A 22,346-nucleotide genomic window follows, 5' to 3' on the forward strand; every position below is an offset into this window, starting at 1 on the left:
CAGTGAGCCGAGATCGCGCCACTGCACTCCAACCTGAGCAACAGAGTGAGACTTCATCTCAAAAAAAAAAAAAAAAAAAATTGTGATAAGTTTCTGTCAAAATGGGGAGACTGCAGAAAAGGCTTCCCTTGGCTTCCAAGGAGGTGTAGCAGGGGTGAGCAATCCTAGTGCCATGTGCCTTTCACACAGGGTTTGCCTTTATCAGTCTGCTTTCTGATGACGTGTACATGAAAGAGTACACCATGAGACAGGAAGAGAGAATGACTGAAAATGTTTTATTGTAGAACTCTTCTTGCAGTAGGTTTTGCTATGTTCTGGATTTTACTTTTTAGGGAACAACAAATAAAATCCTTTGTTAAAACTGAAAAAAAATACACAATGTATCAATGTCTATTTTGACGTAAATGTTAATATTTAAAATTGCGGTTGCCTAAATCACTTTCAGTTTCTGTATGTGTTACCCAAACTAATTTGGAATCAGGAACTTAGAGGATACTTCTAAAAAAGACATGAGAGGTCATTGTGAAGGATGAGAAATGTTCCATGAACTCACTGGTTTTTACTGGTAGCCCTAAGGGGCCGTATCATTCTGTTTCTCAATGCCTGTCTCAGTAAGAAGCAGAGGAATTTTGTAAATAAATATTTGCTCCATCAATAGAAGCAGGATTAATTCTATATGGAACAACCCAGTGCATGCAAGGATCTGTGGAGTTTCCTTTATTCCTAAAAAGCCAGTCTGCGGGCACTGTCTCCCAGGTTTAGACCTGGAAGTTTTAGAAAGCTATGAAGTCTCCCACTGTAGAAAATAGAACTGTTTAATGCAATCTGTTGCTCTTTTGTGATAAATTGCCTTCTTGGAAGCAAAGCAAGAGACACCTGGATGAGGGACTACAAAAGCTGCAGAAGACAATGTAACGTTAGTTGCCCTTGGGAAGAAAACTAGATGACTTGAGGTCAAGGGTAAAAGACTTCCTTTTACCATTGACCTTGTTTCATTTTACTGTTTGTACCATTTACATGTATTATCCCTTTTAGAAAACAGATTCATAATAATTTTAAAATAAGTTATTTTGTGACTTCAGAAAAGAGCAGCAAATAACATTTTTGTCTCATTTATCATAATTTAAGCCTTGAGGGTCTCACCCAGGCAGCTCTGATGGAGCTCAAAGTCCAGCTAAACAAAGCTTCTATGCCTGACACTGCTTCACAATTGAGCGTCCACACAGTCAGTCCTTGCAGCAGAAATGAGAGAATGTATACAAATGGAAAGGTTGGGGTCAAGGGACCCACAGCCTTGAACAAGCTCCCTTTCGTGAGACAGAGAGGGGACAGAATATATAAGTATTTACTCATATATGCAGAAACAGTCCTTGGAAATTATGGATGCCTAAGACCTACAGTAACTGACATTATATTCACAGCACTGGGTTGCATTTAATAAGTGGAAACCAAGCATAATTTGCTTTTCAACTTACTTATATTCATTGAAGGATTATCCAAATTAGCAAAAGGAGCATCCAGTACTAAATTAAATCTATTAATGCCTACCACAACACACACGTATTTGTTTGAGATAGAGGTTAGGCCGTGATACTCTAACTTCTAGGTAGAGGCTTTGCAGTATTCTTTTCTTCCCTTGTAGAAATGGAGGATGAGTTATTATAGGACATTCATCAGAATCAGTTCTAGAGCCTTCAAACAGAAACTCAAAAACTATAAGTGACCTTTTAATAGTAGAAGAAAAGTAGGACAATATTCTCTCTCTCCTCACACTCCTCTAAGTGAGCAAGAACTTTCAAACTGTGGCCACTTGTATCCCCTGAAGTAGGCCTCTTCATGTGATCAGTTGTTTTGTGGGGTGGAGGGTTGTATTCATACACTTGCTCAGATTAGCTCTATGCAACAAAGCTAGTGAAACTCATTGCGTTGATCTTAGACATCCATCCACCTGCCGGCTCTGTTGACTAACCCATGTGGCTGTAGGTTGGTGTTACGGATTTGTAAATTAGGCAATCCTAAGACATGGGTGCTAATAAGACGTAGTTGAACTTGGGCTGCCTTCCCGTGCTGGTATTGAGAAAGCGCTGTAGCCAAGACTCAGGTTCGCGACGTTTACGCCCACGAAGACTCGGGTTCGCCATGTTTACCCTCACGCATCTACAACAGTCCTGGATTTTTATGGATCACTGTTCGCAATGTTTACACTCACGCATCCACAACAGTCCTCCATTTTTACGGATCGCCTGGATTTTATTAAAATGCAGATTCTGATTCAGCAGGTCGAGGGCAGGGTCTGCATTTCCAACAAGATGATGCTGACACAGCTGGGCCATGACCCACACTTTTAGCAGGGCTGAGCCCCTCAGATGGTGTCTGGCTGCAGAGACTTTCATACATTTTGAAATTTCAGGCATGAGATTTTGAAAATTTGAATACATGTAACTATACTACCTATCCAAAAAATAGCAAAAGTTATACAAGTGAAATAATTTTTGTTGAAACCCCAGTATTCTCTAAGAGTCAGGCAGCTGAGTGAAAACATGGGTAAGATGAGCAGTAACAGGCCCTCTGTAGGAATCTTGCCTTTGAGTTGGAAGCTTTTTATCATGCTCATCAAGAAAGTTTCCTCTCCTAGCACCTCTGCCCAGCCGCCCCGTCTGGGAGGTGTACCCAACAGAGACAGCGACCATCGAGAGCGGGCCATGATGACAATGGCGGTTTTGTCAAATAGAAAAGGGGGAAATGTGGGGAAAAGAAAGAGAGATCAGATTGTTGCTGTGTCAGTGTAGAAAGAAGTAGACATAGGAGACTCCATTTTGTTCTGTACTAAGAAAAATTCTTCTGCCTTGGGATGCTGTTAATCTATAACCTTACCCCCAACCCTGTGCTCTCTGAAACATGCGCTGCGTCCACTCAGGGTTAAATGGATTAAGGGCGGTGCCAGATGTGCTTTGTTAAACAGATGCTTGAAGGCAGCATGCTCGTTAAGAGTCATCACCACTCCCTACTCTCAAGTACCCAGGGACACAAACACTGCGGAAGGCCGCAGGGTCCTCTGCCTAGGAATACCAGAGACCTTTGTTCACGTGTTTATCTGCTGACCTTTCCTCCACTATTATCCTATGACCCTGCCACATCCCCCTCTCCGAGAAACACCCAAGAATGATCAATAAATACTAAAAAAAAAAAAGTTAGTGTAAAATAAAGTAGTAGCTTTCCAATATACAAACAATCAAATGATAGATATAATGATGTAACAAAAGATGTACATAACAGTGATTAAAATATTCTTAGGAATATATTTAACAATAAAAAAAAAAAAGAAAGTTTCCTCTCCTGAACCTCGGCTACACCGCTCTTCACAGACCAAATTGAAGCTTCACTGAGAATGGCTTCAGAGGATTTCCTGAACACAATAATCATTTTTTTCTATTTTAGATGTTTTGCTTCCAGAAGGCAAAAAAAAGGACTAAATGAACCTCCGAGCAGAGCCTATATGATGATTTTGCAGGAATATTAAGATGGGCCCCCCCCCACTATTATTCTTAGCAAACTAAAGCAGGAACAGAAAACCAAATAGCACATATTCTCACTTATAAGTGAGACCTAATTGATAAGAACATGTGGACACAAAGAGGGGAACACACACACACTGGGGACTCTGAGGGTGGAGAGTGGGAGGAGGGAGAGGATAAGGAAAAATAACAGAATCTCCGCTTAGTTCCTGGGTGATGAAATAATCTGTACAACAAACCCCGTGACATAAGTTTACCTATGTAACAAATCTGCACATCTACCCTAAATCTAAAATAAAAGTTTAAAAAATTAGAAAAAGAAAAATAGCCAGGCATGGTGGCGTGCACCTGTAGTCCAGCTACTCAGGAGGCTGAGGTGGGAGGATCTCTTGAGCCCAGGAGGTCAAGGTTGCAGTGAGCCATGATTGTGCCACTGCACTCCAGCCTGGGTGACAGAGTGAGAAATTACCTCTAAAAAAAAAAAAAACGAGAAGGTGGGCCTCCCCGTGGCATGTATTAGAAAAAGTGCGCCCTCTGGATGGATGAGGCCCCTGGATAGATGGTGCTGAAACAGGTCAGGGACACTGGTCTCATTGTCCAAGGTGTTATCCAAGCTCGTTGTCTCACAACCAAAAGAATTAAGGAGCGTGGACACAGAGTGAGGTTGGAGCAAAAGTTTAATGAGCAAAAAAACCAAGCTCTCCACTGTGCAAAGGGGAGCCTGAGTGGGCTGCCGTTTTTACAGTTGAGTCCAAAAGCTTTTAGAAGAAACTCCTCTCATCTATGTAGCTGTTTGAGTAACTTCTCTTATGTGAAAAGCTGTCTGTAAACCCCACCCCTTATCCACGTAGTTGCGGATATGACTCTAGGCAAGCACAATGCACCGCTTCTCTTGTCCGTGTAACTGTGGGTTTGTTTTAGGGAAGCCCCCTCCTCTCTGTGCAAGTTCCCACGGAGCCCACCGTGTACTTGTCTGAAAAGAAGGGGAAACTTTTCCCTGGGAGCTGGTTAATCACACGAAGAACAAAAGGCTTCTGTGCCGGACCTTGCGTGCTTGCCTGTGCAGGTGCAGCCTCAGTTTTCCCCAGGCTGCTCTATTTTTGCCTGTAGCTGCGATTTTTCAGGCAGGCTGCTTCTCCAAGGACCAGCCTTAACTGTTTACCTAACTGATTTTTCCTTTGCTTCTCCCTCAGTGCTTTACACGAAGAAAAAGATGCCCTTCCTCACAAGTGTACCTGGCCCACAGCTCAAAGAGCAGAGCTTGGGTTGGATTTGTGAAGGGCACCATTTGACCACCACCGGGGCAGCCCATCTAAAACTCTCCCAGTCAGCTCATACTAATAAGGAAATCTTGTAGAAAATGGACAGTAAATTAGAGGCAAGTGTTCACAGGAAGCAGTCTTCTTATTTGCTTTTCTAATCCCTCTGGTGGCAAGAGAGCCTGAGTGCCGGGAGTTCAGGGAGGCGGAGAGGCTGACAGTGGCGCAACATGGGGCTCCATTTTCCCTGACTCTGCCTTGGAAGTCTGCCGCTTGGTGTCTGGTCTTTATACCTGATACAGTGTTTGCCTTGTGTTATGGCTGAGTTATATCCCCTCACCCAAATTTACATGCAGAAGTCTTAATCTGCTGGGCATACTGGCTCACGCCTGTAATCCCAGCACTTTGGGATGCCAAGGTGGGAGGACGGCTCAAGGCCAGGAGTTTGAGACCAGCCTGAGAAGCATAGTGAGACCTCGTCTCTACAAAAAAAAGAAAATTAAATTTCTAATTCCCAGTGACTCAGAATGTGTCTGCATCTGGCAATAAGATCTTTAAAGAAGTAATTAAGTTAAAGTTAGGTTATTAGGGTGGTCCCTCATCCAATCTGACTGGCATCCTTATACGAAGAGGAAACAGGGACACAGATACACACAGACAGAGGACTGAGTGGAGACACAAGGAGAATTCGGCCATCTACAGGCCAAAGAGAGAGGCTGGAGAAGGAGCCAACCCTACTGACACCCTGTCCTCAGTCTTCCAGCTCCAGCATTGTGAGGAGATGCCATTGTGTGATGTAAGCCTCCCAGTATGTGGTAATTTGTTATGGCAGCAGGGGGGACTGAAACACCTTGCCGCTAGACCTTGATAATTTATAAGAAAAGTCAGAGGTAAATGCTTGTGAGATTATCGGGAAAGGATGCACCATGATTAGACCCACAAAAGGTCCTCTCCACTCCCCCACTTCCCCTCCCCAGTGCAAGTCCACCCAGGTTGACAGCGTGGGCTTGAGTGGAAAGTCGGCAGCAGCAACGGAGGCTTGAAGCTGGCCTTCCTAACTTGAGACTCTCCATGTTTTGATTCAAAGCCAGGAGGATTCAATGACCGCAGTCATTGCAGGGTCTGAATAGCCAAGAAATGCTTGGCTTCATACAAAGCACTATATACGGACCTGTGTCAGGCGAACTGTTGAAACAGAAGAGACACTGGGAGAAGGCTTTTCCCATTTCTCCAACCACTGCTTCAGAAAATCTCTGATATGCAGAGAGTGATTATTTCTCCTTGGTCTTTCTGGGATGTTTGAAGGAGAAGTGACCACTCCTCATGCATTTTTCATTCTATAGCCATTTAAGTCTATTGCTGCCAGGAAAATGAGGGACCGACTAAATGACTTCTAATTAAAAATATAGGAAAGCTTCAAGTGACTTCATGAAGAGGTCATGGCAATATAGTGCATTAGTAAATCACCGCAACTCCCCAGATCTAGGCAAATAAGCATAGATCTATTTATTCTTGAATTTTTTTTTCAGGATATGAGTCCTCTGCCCAAATCCAAAGGCCTACTTGAACACAGTTTCAGTTCCTTTCTTCTTTCCCAGATAACATCAGTGAAACAATTTATGTTCTTCCTCAACAAGAAGAAAGCCAAACTCTTCTGATACTATTTCAACAACCCTTATTGCTCCACTCACAGCCTCCCTCAGGTGAAGTTTTTTCTCCCTTTCTCCAAACCTTTGCCTTCCTTCTGCCTCCTTTGTGGCTAAAATTAACGTACTGCCTAGAACCAGACCTGTCACCTTCTGACTCACATTCTCCCATAAAGGTACTGAAAAGCCTTAAGAAGATTCATGAAGCATCATTAGACAATTAAAACTGTCAATATGAAAAAAAAATGTGGCCAGACACGGTGGCTCATGCCTGCAATCCTAGCTCTTTGGGAAGCCAAGGCAGGTGGATCACCAGAGATCAGGAGTTCGAGACCAGCCTGGCCAACGTGGCAAAACCCCATCTCCACTAAAAATACAAAAATTAGCCGGGCAGGGTGGCTCACTATAATCCACTGAGAGAATAGCTTTGCTGTCCTCCTTTCTCTATGGAATGCCAAACACCTGTGCTATCTTAGACTAGTCACAGGACTTGAAACTAGCCCAATTGTCTTATAGAACTGATGCTTACGGTTTCTTTTGAATCCACATAGAAATTGACCTTCCCAGTCTTAAAATTTGAGACAGTCCCATTTGTCTTTTCTGAGTTCCTTTCTCAGGAAACCAACCATCAGGCTTCCTAGATAGTATCAAGGAGCTGAAACTCACCAGATCACTGCCTCTTGACAATGAGATGCCAGACCCCTCACCCATCATGACTACCTAAACGGCCACCGGCTTCCTGTTGACCAACTCTCTCTACTTATCCTTTCCTAACTCCTGTTCTCCCACACAGGGTTACATTTCTTCCTTGCTATATAACCTCCAGCTTTGGTTGGTCAGGGAGACGGATCTGAGGCTGATCTCCCATCTCCTCTGCTGCAGCACCTGATTAAAGCTTCTTTCTTGGAGATACTCATCGTCTCAGTCATTGGCTTTCTGTACAGCGAACAGCAGGACCTACACTGAAGCCCTGGCGTTTTGGTAACAGATTCAATGATGTCTCTTCAACCAAGTTGCTTATTTTCACCATGCAGTAAAAATAAGTACCATAGGCTGGGCGCGGTGGCTCACGCCTGTAATCCCAGCACTTTGGGAGGCCGAGGTGGGCGGATCACAAGGTCAGGAGATTGAGACCATCCTGGCTAACACGGTGAAACCCCATCTCTACTAAAAATAAAAAAATTAGCCAGGCGTGGTGGCGGGTGCCTGTAGTCCCAGCTACTTGGGAGGCTGAGGCAGGAGAATGGAGTGAACCCGGGAGGCGGAGCTTGCAGTGAGCCGAGATCACGCCACTGCACTCCAGCCTGGGCGACAGGGGGAGACTCTGTCTCAAAAAATAAATAAACAAATAAATAAAAATAAGTACCATATAAGCCTTGTTTAGATAACTTGTTTCCTTTAACCCACTCTTTATGGGTTAAAGGACACCCCCCACTCTCAGCTTCAATCTTTGCCCCATACCACTCTCATTATCCACTCTTACTAACAGCCATTTGTTTCACTTTATTGGATTCAGCTTCTCTATCCATAGACATGGTTTCTACTGCATGGCTCCTGAAACTTAAATGTGCATATGAATTACTTGGGTATTTTATTAAAATTTTAATTTACTTCAGTAATTCTGGAGTGAAGGCTGAAATTCTGCATTCCTGTCAAGCTCCCAGGTAATGTCAGTGTTGCTGATCTGAAATTGTACATTGGTTTAAAATAGTCTATTGTAACCCTTTGTAGGGTTTTCAGGTTCCAAACACAGGCTCTGGGAGTTAAATTATACTAGTAACTTATATATCACTTCTGCCAAATAAATAGCCAAATCAATCCATCAATGAATATTTGTTGAATACCTACTCCAAAGTCCCCTGTAAAATATTTTCTTCTTAGTTTGGTAGATAGTTTCGAAAGCATTTACCATTTCAAGTGTTTGTTTGTTTGTTTTTGCAACAGAGTCTCACTCTATTGCCCAGACTGGAGTGCAGTGGAATGATCTCGGCTTACTGCAACCTCTGCCTCCTGGGTTCAAGAGATTCTCTTGCAGCCTCAGCCTCCCGAGTATCTGGGATAACAGGCGTGTGCCACCACGCCTGGCTAATTTTTGTGTTTTTAGTAGAGATGGGGTTTCACCATGTTGGCCATGGCTGGTCTCGAACTCCTGACCTTAGGTGATCTGCCTGCCTTAGCCTCCCAAAGTGCTGGGATTACAGGTTTGAGCCACTGCACCCAGCCACCATTTCAAGTTCTAAAAGACTTATCTCTAAACCTTTCATAGGCAGTCAGTATTCTTCCCCTTTCTCCTTATCTCCTCATCACCAAGGTTTTTTTGTTTTTTGTTTTTGTTCTTTTGCAACAGAGTCCCAATCTGTCACCCAAGTTGGAGTGCAGTGGTGCAGTCTTGGCTCACTGCAGCCTCCACCTCTCAGGCTCAAGCAATGCTCCCACCTCAGCTTCCCAAGTAGCTGGGACTACTGACACGCACCACCACACCCAGCCAATTTTTGTATTTCTAGTAGAAATGGGGTTTCACCATGTTGGCCAGGCTAGTCTCAAACTCCTGGCCTCAAGTGTTCTGCCCACCTCAGCCTCCCAAAGTGCTGGGATTACAGGTGTGAGCCACCACCCCTGGCCTACCAAGTTTTAATATAAGATTTATAATTCAATTGTCTGAAGATGGGCTTCAGAGCCAAAGAACATTTCCAGTGTTCTCAAGCTACATTCATTCATTCATTCAATAAATATTTACTAAGCACACACTACATACTTGGCACTGTTTCATGTACTGTTTACTGATAAGCATAGAACACAAGACAAGCAAGGTCCCTGAAGCTACAAAGCTCAGACCCCAAAAGGGTAGGAAATGAACAATAAAAACATAAAAAATAAATAATTTCAGAGAGTCAAAAGTAAATGACAAAAATAAAACAGCATAATTCAATGGGACTAAGAAGCACTACTTTGGATAGGGTAACTGGGGAAAGCCTCCCTGGAGTGATCTCATCAGAGCTGAGATGTAAATGACAAGAAGGTGCCAGCCTCAGAAAGGTCTGAAAGAAGAGGTTCTAATGATCTAATAGTCATGATTTGCTCTGTAGACTGCTTTCCTGAGAGTTGCAGTTGTGTGTTCCGTGTTCCCTGGGTCTCACTGAGCGTGTCTGAAAAGGCCACTTTGCAAATACAGTGGTGCACAATTACCTCCTGTTTTTGTCATCATTTTTAGCTCTTTCCAAAAAAAGATTGATGGAGACTGCCTGCATGAGGATTGGCTTATCGGGGATACAGGGCAGACAGTCAGTATAGATTTCCATGATCCGGGAGAAAATTATCTGTAGAACATTACAACTAATCATTTATTCCTGGAAAGGAGGGAATATTTTCTTTGATAAGCACTTACTGAGCACTTATAACATGAGAATAAATGTTTATATGTGTATAAACAGATGAAATATGGGTCTGTAGAGATGAATATGACATGGATTTTGTTGTCAAGGAGCTTACAAATAAACACAAAGTAAAATGGAAAAAGTGAGAAACTGGAAGTACAGGGTAACGAAAATAATCACTTTGAAGGAAGGGTGACTGATCTTGGCCAAGAGAATCTGTAAATGTTCCCATGAGCAGTCTGTATTTGAACTAAGGCTTGAAATAGGAAACAGAGGAGCCATATCCATAGACAGTACGAAAGGCCATAGAACCGGGTAAGACACTTAGGGAGGAAGTGGAGGAAAGAAGAGGCTCAAGGGCTCTGCCCCTGCACAACCTGGTTAATAGCCTTGAAGGTGATAATGCACAAGAAATGCAGATTTCAACCATGTCAGAGGACGCACAGGTCCAGCAAGATGAACAACAAAACCTGACCTTTGGTTTGAACATTGTGGAGGTGGTGTGGTGGCTGGGAGCACAGATGTTTCCGCGAAGGGGAGAAAGAAAAGGTTTATCAAAGTGGATTCAAGAGAAATATGCAAGGAGAACTGAAAATTGGCACCACAGCCCAGGGCTTCTCAAACTTTAAAGTCACTGTGAATCCTGGAGATCCTGCTGGAGTGCAGTTTCTGATTTATAGGTCCTGGGTGGAAACTGAGAGTCTGAATTTCTACCACAATGGCGGGTGACATTGATGTCACTGATGGATCACAATTTGAATAGCAAAGGAAGAGAGTATTTCAGGAGTTTTATATTAAAAGGAGCAATGAAAAGGACTGGGTGAGCAAAGTAACTAGAGGAGGATGTGGGACCAAGGATATTATTTTTAAGATTCATGCTATCGCAGCATTGTATGCCAATGGGGATGATTCAGCGTTCAGAGGGGGAAAGTCAAAATGGGGAGCGGGATAACTGAACATCGTCCTTGAGTAGCGTGGAGAAAGGGGCACGCAGCGATCAGTGAAGGGGCAGCTCTGGAGGGAAGCCCAGCCAGTTCGTGCATGTTACCAGGGGCAGCAGAAAGCTCCTGCGCATAGAGGCAGGTGAGCTGGACGCTGCACAGGGGTTCTCTTCTGTTGTTATTTCTCAATGCAGTAAGGCACTTAGCTGCTAGGACTGGGAAGAGGAAGAGGCAGCAGTATGAAAGAATCATGAGGAAGTAAATTGACTAGGGCAGTGGTCCTCAACCCCATGAGACCCATGACCCTTTTTGTTTTGTTTTTGTTTTTGTTTTTTGGGACGGAGTTTCGCTCTTATTGCCCAGGCTGGAGTGCAATGACGCGATCTCGGCTCACTGCAACCTCCGCCTCCCGGGTTCAAGCGATTCTCCTGCCCCAGCCTCCCGAGTAGCTGGGATTATAGGCATGAGCCACCACACCCATCTAATTTTGTATTTTTAGTAGAGACGAGGTTTCTCCATGTTGGTCAGGCTGGTCTCAAACTCCCGACCTCAGGTGATCTGCCCACCTCGGCCTCCCAAAGTGCTGGGACTACAGGTGTGAGCCACCGCGCCCGGCCCATGACCCTTTTTATAACACATGCTTTTAACAACCTTGCTACCATTGTGAAAATAAAATAATAGTTTATGTAACCTACCTACACACACATTTTTGAATCAACATAATTCCTTCACCGTAATGTAAAGAAAGAAAAGAAAAATCGTTCAGGCGTGAGTGTACTGTTGTGTTAGGAAGGCGAAAGCATCTCCACAAGCACTGTGAGTGCTTCTAGAAGGCAGCGAGAATATCTGAGGCTTGGTGAGACGCTTTCATCGCCATGACTAAGGGTCCACCCGCAGTTACCGGTTATGATTTCATGGGAGACTCTCAGTTGTACATTTTGTTCAGCTGCTTGGATGCAAGCTCAGAGGTGGCAGAGTTGCATTTAATCAGGCTGGCAGCTTTACTGGGGAGTAAATGGACTGAAAATGGTGCAAGGAAGCTTAAGGTCCAGGTCTACAATCTCTATGTGCAATTCCAAAATCCAAAAGAGCTTTGAAAATACAAGTTGGTTGTTGGTGGTTATCCAAAACTCATTTGGCAGTGAAACTCAGCCTGAATAGACACAAAGCTATTTAGAGCCTTTACTGATCCCACTTATTTGAGATACTACATAACAGTAGAACTGATTATCTTTCTACAATTTTTTTAAAATCTGAATTTGGAAACATCTGTGCCCTTAGAGCTTGGGATAAAGCATTATAAACTGTACATGTAAGGGAATTAATAAAATGACGGGCCAGGTAAGCCAAGGCAGGTCAGATAGGAAATAAAGACTTGAGCAGTTAAGACACAGTGAAAAAAATTGGGCCACCGGATTCCGGGTCCCTGTATGGCAGATTGTGGGGTGGAAGTGCTAGAAGTGAGACAGGAAGCCTGGGAGATACAGAGCTGGATGCTTTCAACTGAGAATCCGAATGGGGTACAGTTACAGATAATGACGAGTGCAGACCCTACAGTAGCTGAGGATGTCAAGGTGAGGACGTCAAGAATAATCCATCGCCCAGGGATGGCGGCCCATGCCTGTAATCCCAACACTTTGGGAGGCCAAGGTGGGTGAGTCACCTGAGGTCAAGGAGTTTGAGACCAGCCTGGCCAACATGGTAAAACCCCGTCTCTACTAAAAATACAAAAATTAGCTGGGCATGGTGGTGCACATCTGTAATCCCAGCTACTCGGGAAGCTGAGGCAGGAGAATCGCTTGAACCCTGGAGGCGGAGGTTGCAGTGAGCCAAGATCACACCACTGCACTCCAGCCTGGGCAACAGAGACTCCACCAAAAAACAAAAAACAAAAAAAAAAAACAAAACAAAAAACAAAAAAAAAAACACACAAAAAACAAAAAAACCCAGAACAATCTATCAGAAGAAGGATCCATGTGGATGTGAGATTAGCACTGGGCATTTAACATGTGACTGCCTCAAAAGGGAGTGGTGGCCAGTGTCGTCTGAGAGCTTCAGCTGCCGACGAGCTGCCTGCTGACAGGTGTAGGAAGCAGAAAGGTCGAGCGTGAACAATGGGAACAACACTTACCCATGGGGGTGACATCTAAAGAGAAAGCAGCCTCCACCCGACCCTGCTTCAGGGGAAGCCACGTCCTCGGGTCGGTTAGGACCAAAAGATGAAGAATTTAGGGATGCAAAATATTTTGCTGATAACTGCCAAGGGGATCAGAAGACACAGAGGAAGAATTTGGGGGATTCTGCAGGGTTTTGAGCCTGGGTCATCCCAGGAAATGTACAGAGCCATGTGAGGATGAGACTCCAGTGTGGGAGGATGACCTGGGGGTGTCTGCCTCGCCACCTGCCATGACTGGGATAAAATGGAGTAACTGGCTCAGTCCTAATGATACGTAACAGCAGCATTTTTGCAAAAAGAGCTAGACCTGCTCATAAGATTGAGTAGTTCAGAGGTCAGTTAACTCTTTCTGGGCCAGATAATAAGTATTTTAGATTTTGTGTCACAATTCCTCAACTCTACCATTGTAGCAAAAAAGCAGATATGGCCAGGCGTGGTGCTCACGCCTGTAATCCTAGCACTTTGAGAGGCCAAGGTGGGTGGATCACGAGGTGAGGAATCCAAGACCAGCCTTGCCAACATGGTGAAACACCATGTCTACTAAAAAATACAAAAAAAAAAATTAGCCAGGCGCAGTGGTGGGCACCTGTAATCCCAGCTACTCAGGAGGCTGAGGCAGAATAGCTTGAACCTGGGAGGCGGAGGTTGCAGTGAGACGAGATTGTGCCACTGCACTCCAGCCTGGGTGACAGAGCAAGACTCCATCTAGAAGAAAACAAAAAAAAGCAGATATATCTCACAGATAAAGGAATGGGCATGGCTCTGTTCAATAACATCTTATTTACGGTTACTGAACTTTTAATTTTATATAATTTTTAATGTTATGAAATATTATTTTTCTTTTGATTTTTTGTTCAAACATTTAAAAATGTAAAAACTTTTCATAGCTCATGGCAGGCCAACTTTGGAACATCTGCCATAGATTGAAGACCTCTGGCATAGTTTAATATTTAGCGGGAAAAGCGGAAAAAGAGATTGGAACCAGATTAGTGTGGTTGTCAAAAAAAAAGCTAAAGTGTTTGGACGGGGGGTGTGGGTACGTATGCTTTAGAATCCATTAAAAATTGTTAACGGAGGCAAAAGATACGATCTCATTAGTGTTTTAGGAAAATAGGTGGTTGCAATAAAAATGATGGATTGGAAAGATAAGAAATTAGATGTGAAGAGTCAGCTTAGAGACCTTGGCACTTCTATAGGGGGACATATCAATGCCTAGAGACCCCTTTGCTTGAGAAAGCATAAGCCATTGAATGTTATTAGAAATAATTAAAGTGGTAACATTGAAAAGATACTAAATATACAATTTTACTTTCTCTCCGAACACACTGTAAGTAGGAAAAAGCATATTAACAAAAACAGCAATCTAATGTCCTGAAATAGACCTGTGAAAAGGCTTGCAGGTAAAAGAAACACAAGGAAGACACAGAGACAGGAAGGAAAAGAATATTTAGGCACATTAAAGAGATTTAACCCACAGGACTAGGACTCACACAGTAAGAATATGATGCTGGTAAAGAAATGGGGCTTCACACAGGGGAAGAGTTCAGAAAAAGGACTGAGGGTTGTGGTCCAAGATGGAACCAGAGAATTTGAGAATTCTTTTCTATGACAATTTCAAAAATCACTTTCCCTTCTTGAAATGTATGATTGACCTTTCTGGGTGAAACCCTACGGGCTGGGGGAAGGAGAATCACCTCCTAGGGGTTATACCCGGGAAGGCACAGGGGAGACGCATTCCAAGTCCTGAAGAGCTCCTGGATTGGGCCAGCAAGACATACTTTTAGCATCCTTCCATGACAGTGGTTTCTTGACTCTTTTTTTTTTCTTGACTCTTTCTTAAGAAAAGAATAAAGGTACACCCAGAACCCCATTGGATACCTACTCCTTGTTTGCATTCATTAGAGAAAGGACTCTCAGCAGTGGTGAAGCTTTATCAGTACCCTGCAGAAAATCCACTGAAACCAAGGTCCCTGCCTCTTAGTTCACGATAGGCACAGTCCTCCAAGCCTGTTTGCGCCTCTCTTGCATTCTGATTTACTGCTTGCTCCTCACTTACCTCCTCCTTTGTCCTTTGCTGTTCAAAGACTGCACTTGTAAATTGGGTAATTCGAGTTTGATCCTGGGCTGCCCTCTCTTCTACCTATACTCATCCCCAACATTAGGGCTACTAATACCATCTGTAGTGAAAAGGGTCACGAAGAAAATAAGCCAAGGGGATATGATAGAGATTGACTGAGTCAACTCAGGCACATTGGCCCCGATGTCACACTTAAGCTGAGATCAGAATGCTTGGAATAATCTGGGACATAGAATTTCAGACAGAAGAAAGACAAATGCAAAAACCCTGTTGCCAGTTAGAAAGATGGATGTAGCTGGAGAAAATTCTGACATAGTTCATTACTGCTTCACTGCATCACTTTCCTGGGGATGGGACAGCACGGCATGCCTGAAGAGCTGAGGGGCTGCACTGGTTTCTTTATATCGACTACATCACCTAAGTCAACCTGTTCTAAGGCACATTTGGTGGATTCTTTCAGCTAAAAAAAAAAAAAAAAGAAGAAGATAAAATATTTAAGTTCCAAATCAAATATGGTTTGAGTCCCTGATGCTCACATATTTACTCATATTGATCCATTTCCAATTACACACATAAACACATTTTTCAAACCTTTCTGACCATTACAAAATGCTGGTCACTACCCACTAATTGGTTCCAACTTATAATGAAAATCATAGATTTAAATCCTAAAATTAAAAGAAAACTATACATAACTGTGTGTCCCACAACTGCTTATTTTATACCTTTTTCTTTGCCCAAATAAGGTGGAACCTGTATTATTTACAGGCTGATATCATTTGTTCTCATCATTTCAGACATAATATAAAACAATAACCAGTTCTACAATTTCCCTATTTAGACTATATAGACCTTGTAAAACCTGGAGGCTCCAATGTGCCTCAATGATATTTTCCTGGACAGATGTGCATTTTAAAGTATTGGTTTAAAATCCACATTATGGATACAAAAGACATCTAAAGGCTGATGATATGATATAAAATACATCCCTAAAAGCCAAGTAATTCCATGTAGGAAGGGATAATATTGAAGTTTCTGAAAGAAAGGCTTTCTTACAAGCGGTGATTCTTGATTTGAGTCTTGTAAAAGGTATAAACTTGGAATGGGAGGGTGGTAAATTTTATAGAAAGGGTGATATTAGCGAGGATATCGCAAGGCGTAAATTATACTTTCTAGGCTAGAACTGGAATGAGATTGTGGAGTTCATATCTGTGCATTAGCTGTGTCCTAAATGCAAAATGGCCTCCTGGATCAAATCCTAGAAGAAATAAAAAGTACATGAGTGGAAAAGCATGATGAAGACCAAATAAAGTCTGGAGCTTGGTTGACAGGATTGCACCATTGTTGATTCTGTATTTTGATAAATGTACATTGGTTGTGTAGGATGTTAACATTAGCGGAAACTGGGTGAAGTATATATGGAAACTCAATGTACTATCTTTGCAACTCCTCTATAAATCCAAAGGTATGTCAAAATAAAAAGAAAAAAAGACCACACCGTCTGAGGTTGACTCAAAAGATTTTGAGGGAAAATTTGAGTGATGGTCTAAAACAAAATGGAGCAAGCTCAGAAAATTTACTCCAGATAAGCCCAATTTTAGTAGGTTTCTTAGCAGAAAGGCAAGGGGTGTTTGGGGAAAGGGAGGTTATGGGAATAGTTGTCTTAGTCTGTTCAGCCTGCTATAAAAAAAAATTTGAGTAATTCATATTTATTTATTATCTTTTTGAGATGAAGTTTCCATCTTATCACCCACGCTGGAGTGCGATAGCACAATCTCAGCTCACTGCAACCTCCGCCTCCCGGGTTCAAGCGATTCTCCTGCCTCAGCATCCTGAGTAGCTGGGAATACAGGTGCCTGCCACCACTCCCGGCTAATCTTTTGTATTTTTACAAAAGATTGTCTCTTTAGTAGAGACAAGGTTTCACCATGTTGGCCAGGCTGGTCTCAAACTCCTGACCTCAGGCGATCCACCTGCCTGGGCCTCCCAAAGTGCTGAGATTACAGGCGTGAGCCACTGCCCCCGGCCAAGTAATTTTTAAACAACAGAAATGTATGGCTCATAATTCTGGAGGCTGAGAAGTCCAAGATCAAGGTGCCAGCAGATTTGGTGTCTGCCGAGGGCCCACTCCTCACAGACGGTGCCTTCTGTGTGTCCTCATAAGATGGAGGGGAAAAGGGCTCCCCCACGCCTCCTTTATAAGGACACCAACTCCATTCACCAGGGCGGAGCCCTCAGGACTTAACTACTTACCAGAGGCCTCTTGATACCATCACATCGGGGCAGGTTTCAATGCATGGCTTTTGGAGGGACACAAACATGTAAACCATAGCAACAGTCCATTCTTAAAAAGAAGAAAAAATCTGGCCAGGCGCAGTGGCTCATGCCTGTAATCCCAGCACTTTGGAAGGCCAAGGCGGGTGGATCACCTGAGGTCAGGAGTTCGAGACCAGCCTGACCAACATGGAGAAACCCCGTCTCTACTAAAAATACAAAATTAGCCAGGCATGGTGGCACCGCGCTTATAATCCCAGCTTACTCGGGAAGCTGAGGCAGGAGAATCACTTGAACCTGGGAGGCAGAGGTTGCAGTGAGCCGTGATGGCACCACTGTACTTCATCCTGGGCAACAAGAGCGAAACTCTGTCTTTAAAAAAAAGAAGGAAAAATCTTATGAAACTGCCAAACATAACATTAACAAATCACTGTCAAAGTCTGAGGAGAATCTGGGGTCTAAAAAATAGCCTTAGGCCCTATACTTAGACCCACTGCTAAATTCTCACAGATAATCAAATGAGACCATATTTATATGGTTATAGCTTTCATGTAAAGAGCACAAAAGTTTTTGAAAATATACAACAGGACGATAAGTCTCATTCTTCTCAGTGTGAAGTACCAAAAGGCTTCCATGTAGATTTTAGATTCTACTTAGATTGTTTTTTGAAAAGCAGAGTTAAATATGCCTTTTAAAAATCATACTCTACTAAGATATCAAATTCCAAGTGGAAACATACATTACTGACTGGTGGGTTATTCTTTTTTTCACAGAAACTCTAAAAATATGTTTAACAAGCTCTTTAGGCCAGTTATGGTGGCTCACGCCTGTAATCCTAGCACTTTGGGAGGCCGAGGCAGGTGGATCACAAGGTCAGGAGATCAAGACCATCCTGGCTAACATGGTGAAACCCCGTCTCTACTAAAAATACAAAAACTTAGCCGGGCGTGGTGGCGGGCGCCTGTTAGTGCCAGCTACTCGGGAGGCTGAGGCAGGAGAATCGCTTGATCGCTTGAATCCAGGAGGCAGGGAGGCGGAGGTTGCGGTGAGCCGAGATTGTGCCATTGCACTCCAGCCTGGGAGACAGAGCCAGAGTCCATCCAAAACAAAAAACAAAAAACAAAAAAACAAAAAACAAGCTCTTTAAACAACTGACTGAACTTGGCAAATTAACTTTATCTTTACATTTTGTATCAGGATAGCAAGATTTGGGTTCTAAACTCTGCTCTGTAAACTAATACCTATAGGGCTTTGAATAAGGCATTTGTCACTACTGACTTCACATTTCCTCATCTATAAAATGGATAATAACAATCCCTAAGGTGCTATCAAGATCAAACAAGCATGTAAAAAGGCATTACAAATCATAGCCAATAATAACATGGAGAGATTTCTTAAATGAAAAATACAACTACAGAGTTTGCAAAATACCTTAATGTAAAATACTATATTAGACCACAGTGACGCATATCAAAGGAGCAAGATGGGTTCTTTTGTTGTTGTTTTTGTTTCATTTATTTTTTTATTTTTTTATTTTTTATTTTTTTATTTTTATTTTTTTTTTATTGATCATTCTTGGATGTTTCTCGCAGAGGGGGATTTGGCAGGGTCACAGGACAATAGTGGAGGGAAGGTCAGCAGATAAGTGAACAAAGGTCTCTGGTTTTCCTAGGCAGAGGACCCTGCGGCCTTCCGCAGTGTTTGTGTCCCTGGGTACTTGAGATTAGGGAGTGGTGATGACTCTTAAGGAGCATGCTGCCTTCAAGCATCTGTTTAACAAAGCACATCTTGCACCACCCTTAATCCATTCAACCCTGAGTGGACACAGCACATGTTTCAGAGAGCACAGGGTTGGGGGTAAGGTCACAGATCAACAGGATCCCAAGGCAGAAGAATTTTTCTTAGTGCAGAACAAAATGGAGTCTCCTATGTCTACTTCTTTCTACACAGACACAGCAACCATCCGATTTCTCAATCTTTTCCCCACCTTTCCCCCCCTTCTATTCCACAAAACCGCCATGGTCATCATGGCCTGTTCTCAATGAGCTGCTGGGCACACCTCCCAGACGGGGTGGTGGCCGGGCAGAGGGGCTCCTCACTTCCCAGTAGGGGCGGCCGGGCAGAGACACTCCTCACTTCCCAGATGGGATGGCGGCCGGGCAGAGGCTGCAATCTCGGCTCTTTGGGAGGCCAAGGCAGGCGGCTGGGAGGTGGAGGTTGTAGCGAGCCGAGATCACGCCACTGCACTCCAGCCTGGGCACCATTGAGCACTGAGTGAAGGAGACTCCGTCTGCAATCCCGGCACCTCGGGAGGCCGAGGCTGGCGGATCACTCGCGGTTAGGAGCTGGAGACCAGCCCGGCCAACACAGCGAAACCCCGTCTCCACCAAAAAAATACGAAAACCAGTCAGGCGTGGCGGCGCACGCCTGCAATCGCAGGCACTCGGCAGGCTGAGGCAGGAGAATCAGGCAGGGAGGCTGCAGTGAGCCAAGATGGCAGCAGTACAGTCCAGCTTCGGCTCGGCATCAGAGGGAGACCGTGGAAAGAGAGGGAGAGGGAGACCGTGGGGAGAGGGAGAGGGAGACCGTGGGGAGAGGGAGACCGTGGGGAGAGGGAGACCGTGGGGAGAGGGAGACGGAGAGGGAGACCGTGGGGAGAGGGAGACCGTGGGGAGAGGGAGAGAGGGAGAGGGATTTTTGTTTCATTTTTTTCGTTTGTCTTTGGAGATGGAGTCTCGCCCTGTCGCCCAGGCTGCAGTGCAGCGGCACAATTTCGGCTCACTGCAACCCTTGCCTCCTGGGTTCAAGCAATTCTCCTGCCTCAGCCTTCCGAGTAGCTGGGACTACAGACGCCCGCCACCACGACTGACTTTTTTTTTTTCTTTTTTTTTTTTTAATTTTATTAGAGACAGGGGGTTTCACCATGTTGCCCAGGCTGGTCTCCAACTCCTGAGCTTAGGCAATGTGCTGGCCTCGGCCTCCAAAAGTGCTAGGATTACAGGCATGAGCCACCACGCCCAGCCAACACTTGGGTTCTAATCTGAGTTTAGAAACTTATTCCTGTATAAAGTTTCTTTGTGCCTCGGGGTTATTTTAAAACGCAAATGAAATTATAATAACAGTAATAATAACTATTTTAGAAATTTGATTTCAGATAAAATGAGACTGTGCGTGTATTCAATTTATATTAGCTAAATCAAATAGAAATAAGCTGAAGCTCTAATAATGAAATAATGTTTTACAAGTTTAAGGTTAATAAGCATTTATAGATAAGGCATGTTTTCTTACAATATTCCGTTCCCAGGGCTCCTGGACTGAAGATCGAAGTTCTTCCCATGGCCTACGGGGTCCCAGAGTCTGGGCCTGCATAGCCTCTCCACACTCGCCTCCACTCATCTCAGGTCCTTCCATAACTATTCCCTCTCCTGTCAGGGAGGCTCTGCCGTCCACGCTGATTCCTGCAGATCAGGGAAACCTCCCCTAACTTCCCGGCTCTCCTATGTGGCTCCCACAGCACCACGCACCTCTCCTTCATTGTGCTAATAATAGCTGCATTGTGACACTTACAATCATGATTATTTGGCTGGTATCCTCTGACTGTCTTTATTTACAATGTGGATATTTTGTTCTCTATAAATTGTTGCGTTGATTTTGATTCTTTTACATGCCAGGTTAAAATATTACTAATACTGATTACTGAGGGTGTTTTGTTTACAAGTGAGTTACTCACCTCAATCTAGTTCTTACCCTCCTGTTCTGACCTGGCCATTCCGCATTCAAACCCCAGGAGGCCAGGAATACGTATCCACCAGGGCCTAGAACCTCCGCCTGTGTAGGGGAGAAACTCAAATCTGTATAGAGTGAATTAATGCATATCTATAGTTTTTGCATTTTAAGGGTTTTAAGGAAAATATTGATTTGTAACACAGATAAAATGGTCGAAATACAAGTGTTTTAAGTGACCATGATGTTACTGGCAGAAGAATCACTATGACTAAAATTCCAGCAATGGACAACACTTTTTCTATGCATAACCTCTTTGTGGTCAATTTCAAGACAGCCCACTTCTGTTTCACGGTTTAATTGGTTCTCGAGCTCATTTAGGAGAAATTCAATTTCCTTTGAGCTGAGTTCATATCACAACAGATGAGTTCATTCGTTTTGGTTTCTTCTTCAGGCCCATGGAAAGGAAAGCTAAACGATAATGGGAGCAAAAATAATCTATGGAAGAGGTGGAGTGTGAAATGTAAAATTAGATTTTCTAAACATGCTGTCTCTAATGCCCAAACAGAGCCACACCCAAGCGATCAAATGGAATCAGTGGTAGGGGAGGCGATTATAAATCAATCTAGTTTATGGGATGCACTGTGTGAATGGTTAAGGGAGTGATAAAGGGTGGTTTCCGACAACCCAAAGAAAGGATCCTCGGCTTGAGCTAAGTGTGTGTGTTTCCATCTAGTGAGGAAAGGGGCTTTCAATGACATTGCCACTTAAAGGCTTACAAAGAAGGTTCTGGTCAACATTCTTCGGTTCATTGAAGTATTTCTTATCGAAACCCAAATGTTAACATTTTTATCTCCAAGGGAAACAAAAAAAAAGGCTGGTGGAATTCCCCTGTAGTTTCTAAAGAGGCCACAGCAAGGCGCCATAGAGACAGAAGGAGGGAAGTTGAGGGAAGTCCTTCTGACTGGTAAATCGGCTTTCTGACCCTCGTCTGCAAATAATACATTCTAAGGTAAGGAACTAAGGAAGCTTTATTGAAATCGGATTTCAAATGGAGAGGTCCTGCTATGCCTACTGGAGGAGATCAGGGAATAATAAATATTTCCTTCATTGAAAATTATATCCTATTGGCCAGGCGCAGTGGCTCACGCCTGTAATCCCAACACTTTGGGAGGCCGAGACAGGCGGATCACCTGAGGTCGGACCAGCCTGCCAACATGGAGAAACCCTGTCTCTACTAAAAATACTAAATTAGCCGTGCGTGGTGGTGCATGCCTGTAATCCCAGCTACTGGGGAGGCTGAGGCAGGAGAATCACTTGAACCAAATAGGCGGAGGTTGCAGTGAGGTGAGACGGTGCCA

The 22,346-nt window shown here is 43.7% G+C and overlaps 1 long non-coding RNA gene across 2 annotated transcripts in view, besides 1 other annotated feature; it reads right to left on the minus strand.

Moving 5' to 3' along the window:
- Positions 1-20,748, minus strand: part of LOC124900881 (uncharacterized) — a 50,716-nt gene extending 29,968 nt beyond the window's left edge. For both annotated transcript variants that reach the window (XR_007058513.1, XR_007058512.1), the window contains exon 1: positions 20,551-20,748. This is a non-coding gene — a long non-coding RNA (uncharacterized LOC124900881). The remainder of the gene's footprint in view (positions 1-20,550) is intronic.
- Positions 1,637-2,137: an enhancer, noted in NCBI's record as "NANOG-H3K4me1 hESC enhancer chr4:188894922-188895422 (GRCh37/hg19 assembly coordinates)". NCBI's record gives its function as "activates a minimal SCP1, AML or CMV promoter by ChIP-STARR-seq in naive H9 embryonic stem cells {active_cell/tissue: H9 hESC(naive)}" and the evidence as "EXISTENCE:reporter gene assay evidence [ECO:0000049][PMID:30033119]".
- Positions 20,749-22,346: the final 1,598 nt, after the last annotated feature.

This window comes from Homo sapiens, chromosome 4 (assembly GCF_000001405.40).
Source record: "Homo sapiens chromosome 4, GRCh38.p14 Primary Assembly".
Classification (NCBI taxonomy): Eukaryota; Metazoa; Chordata; class Mammalia; order Primates; family Hominidae; genus Homo; species Homo sapiens.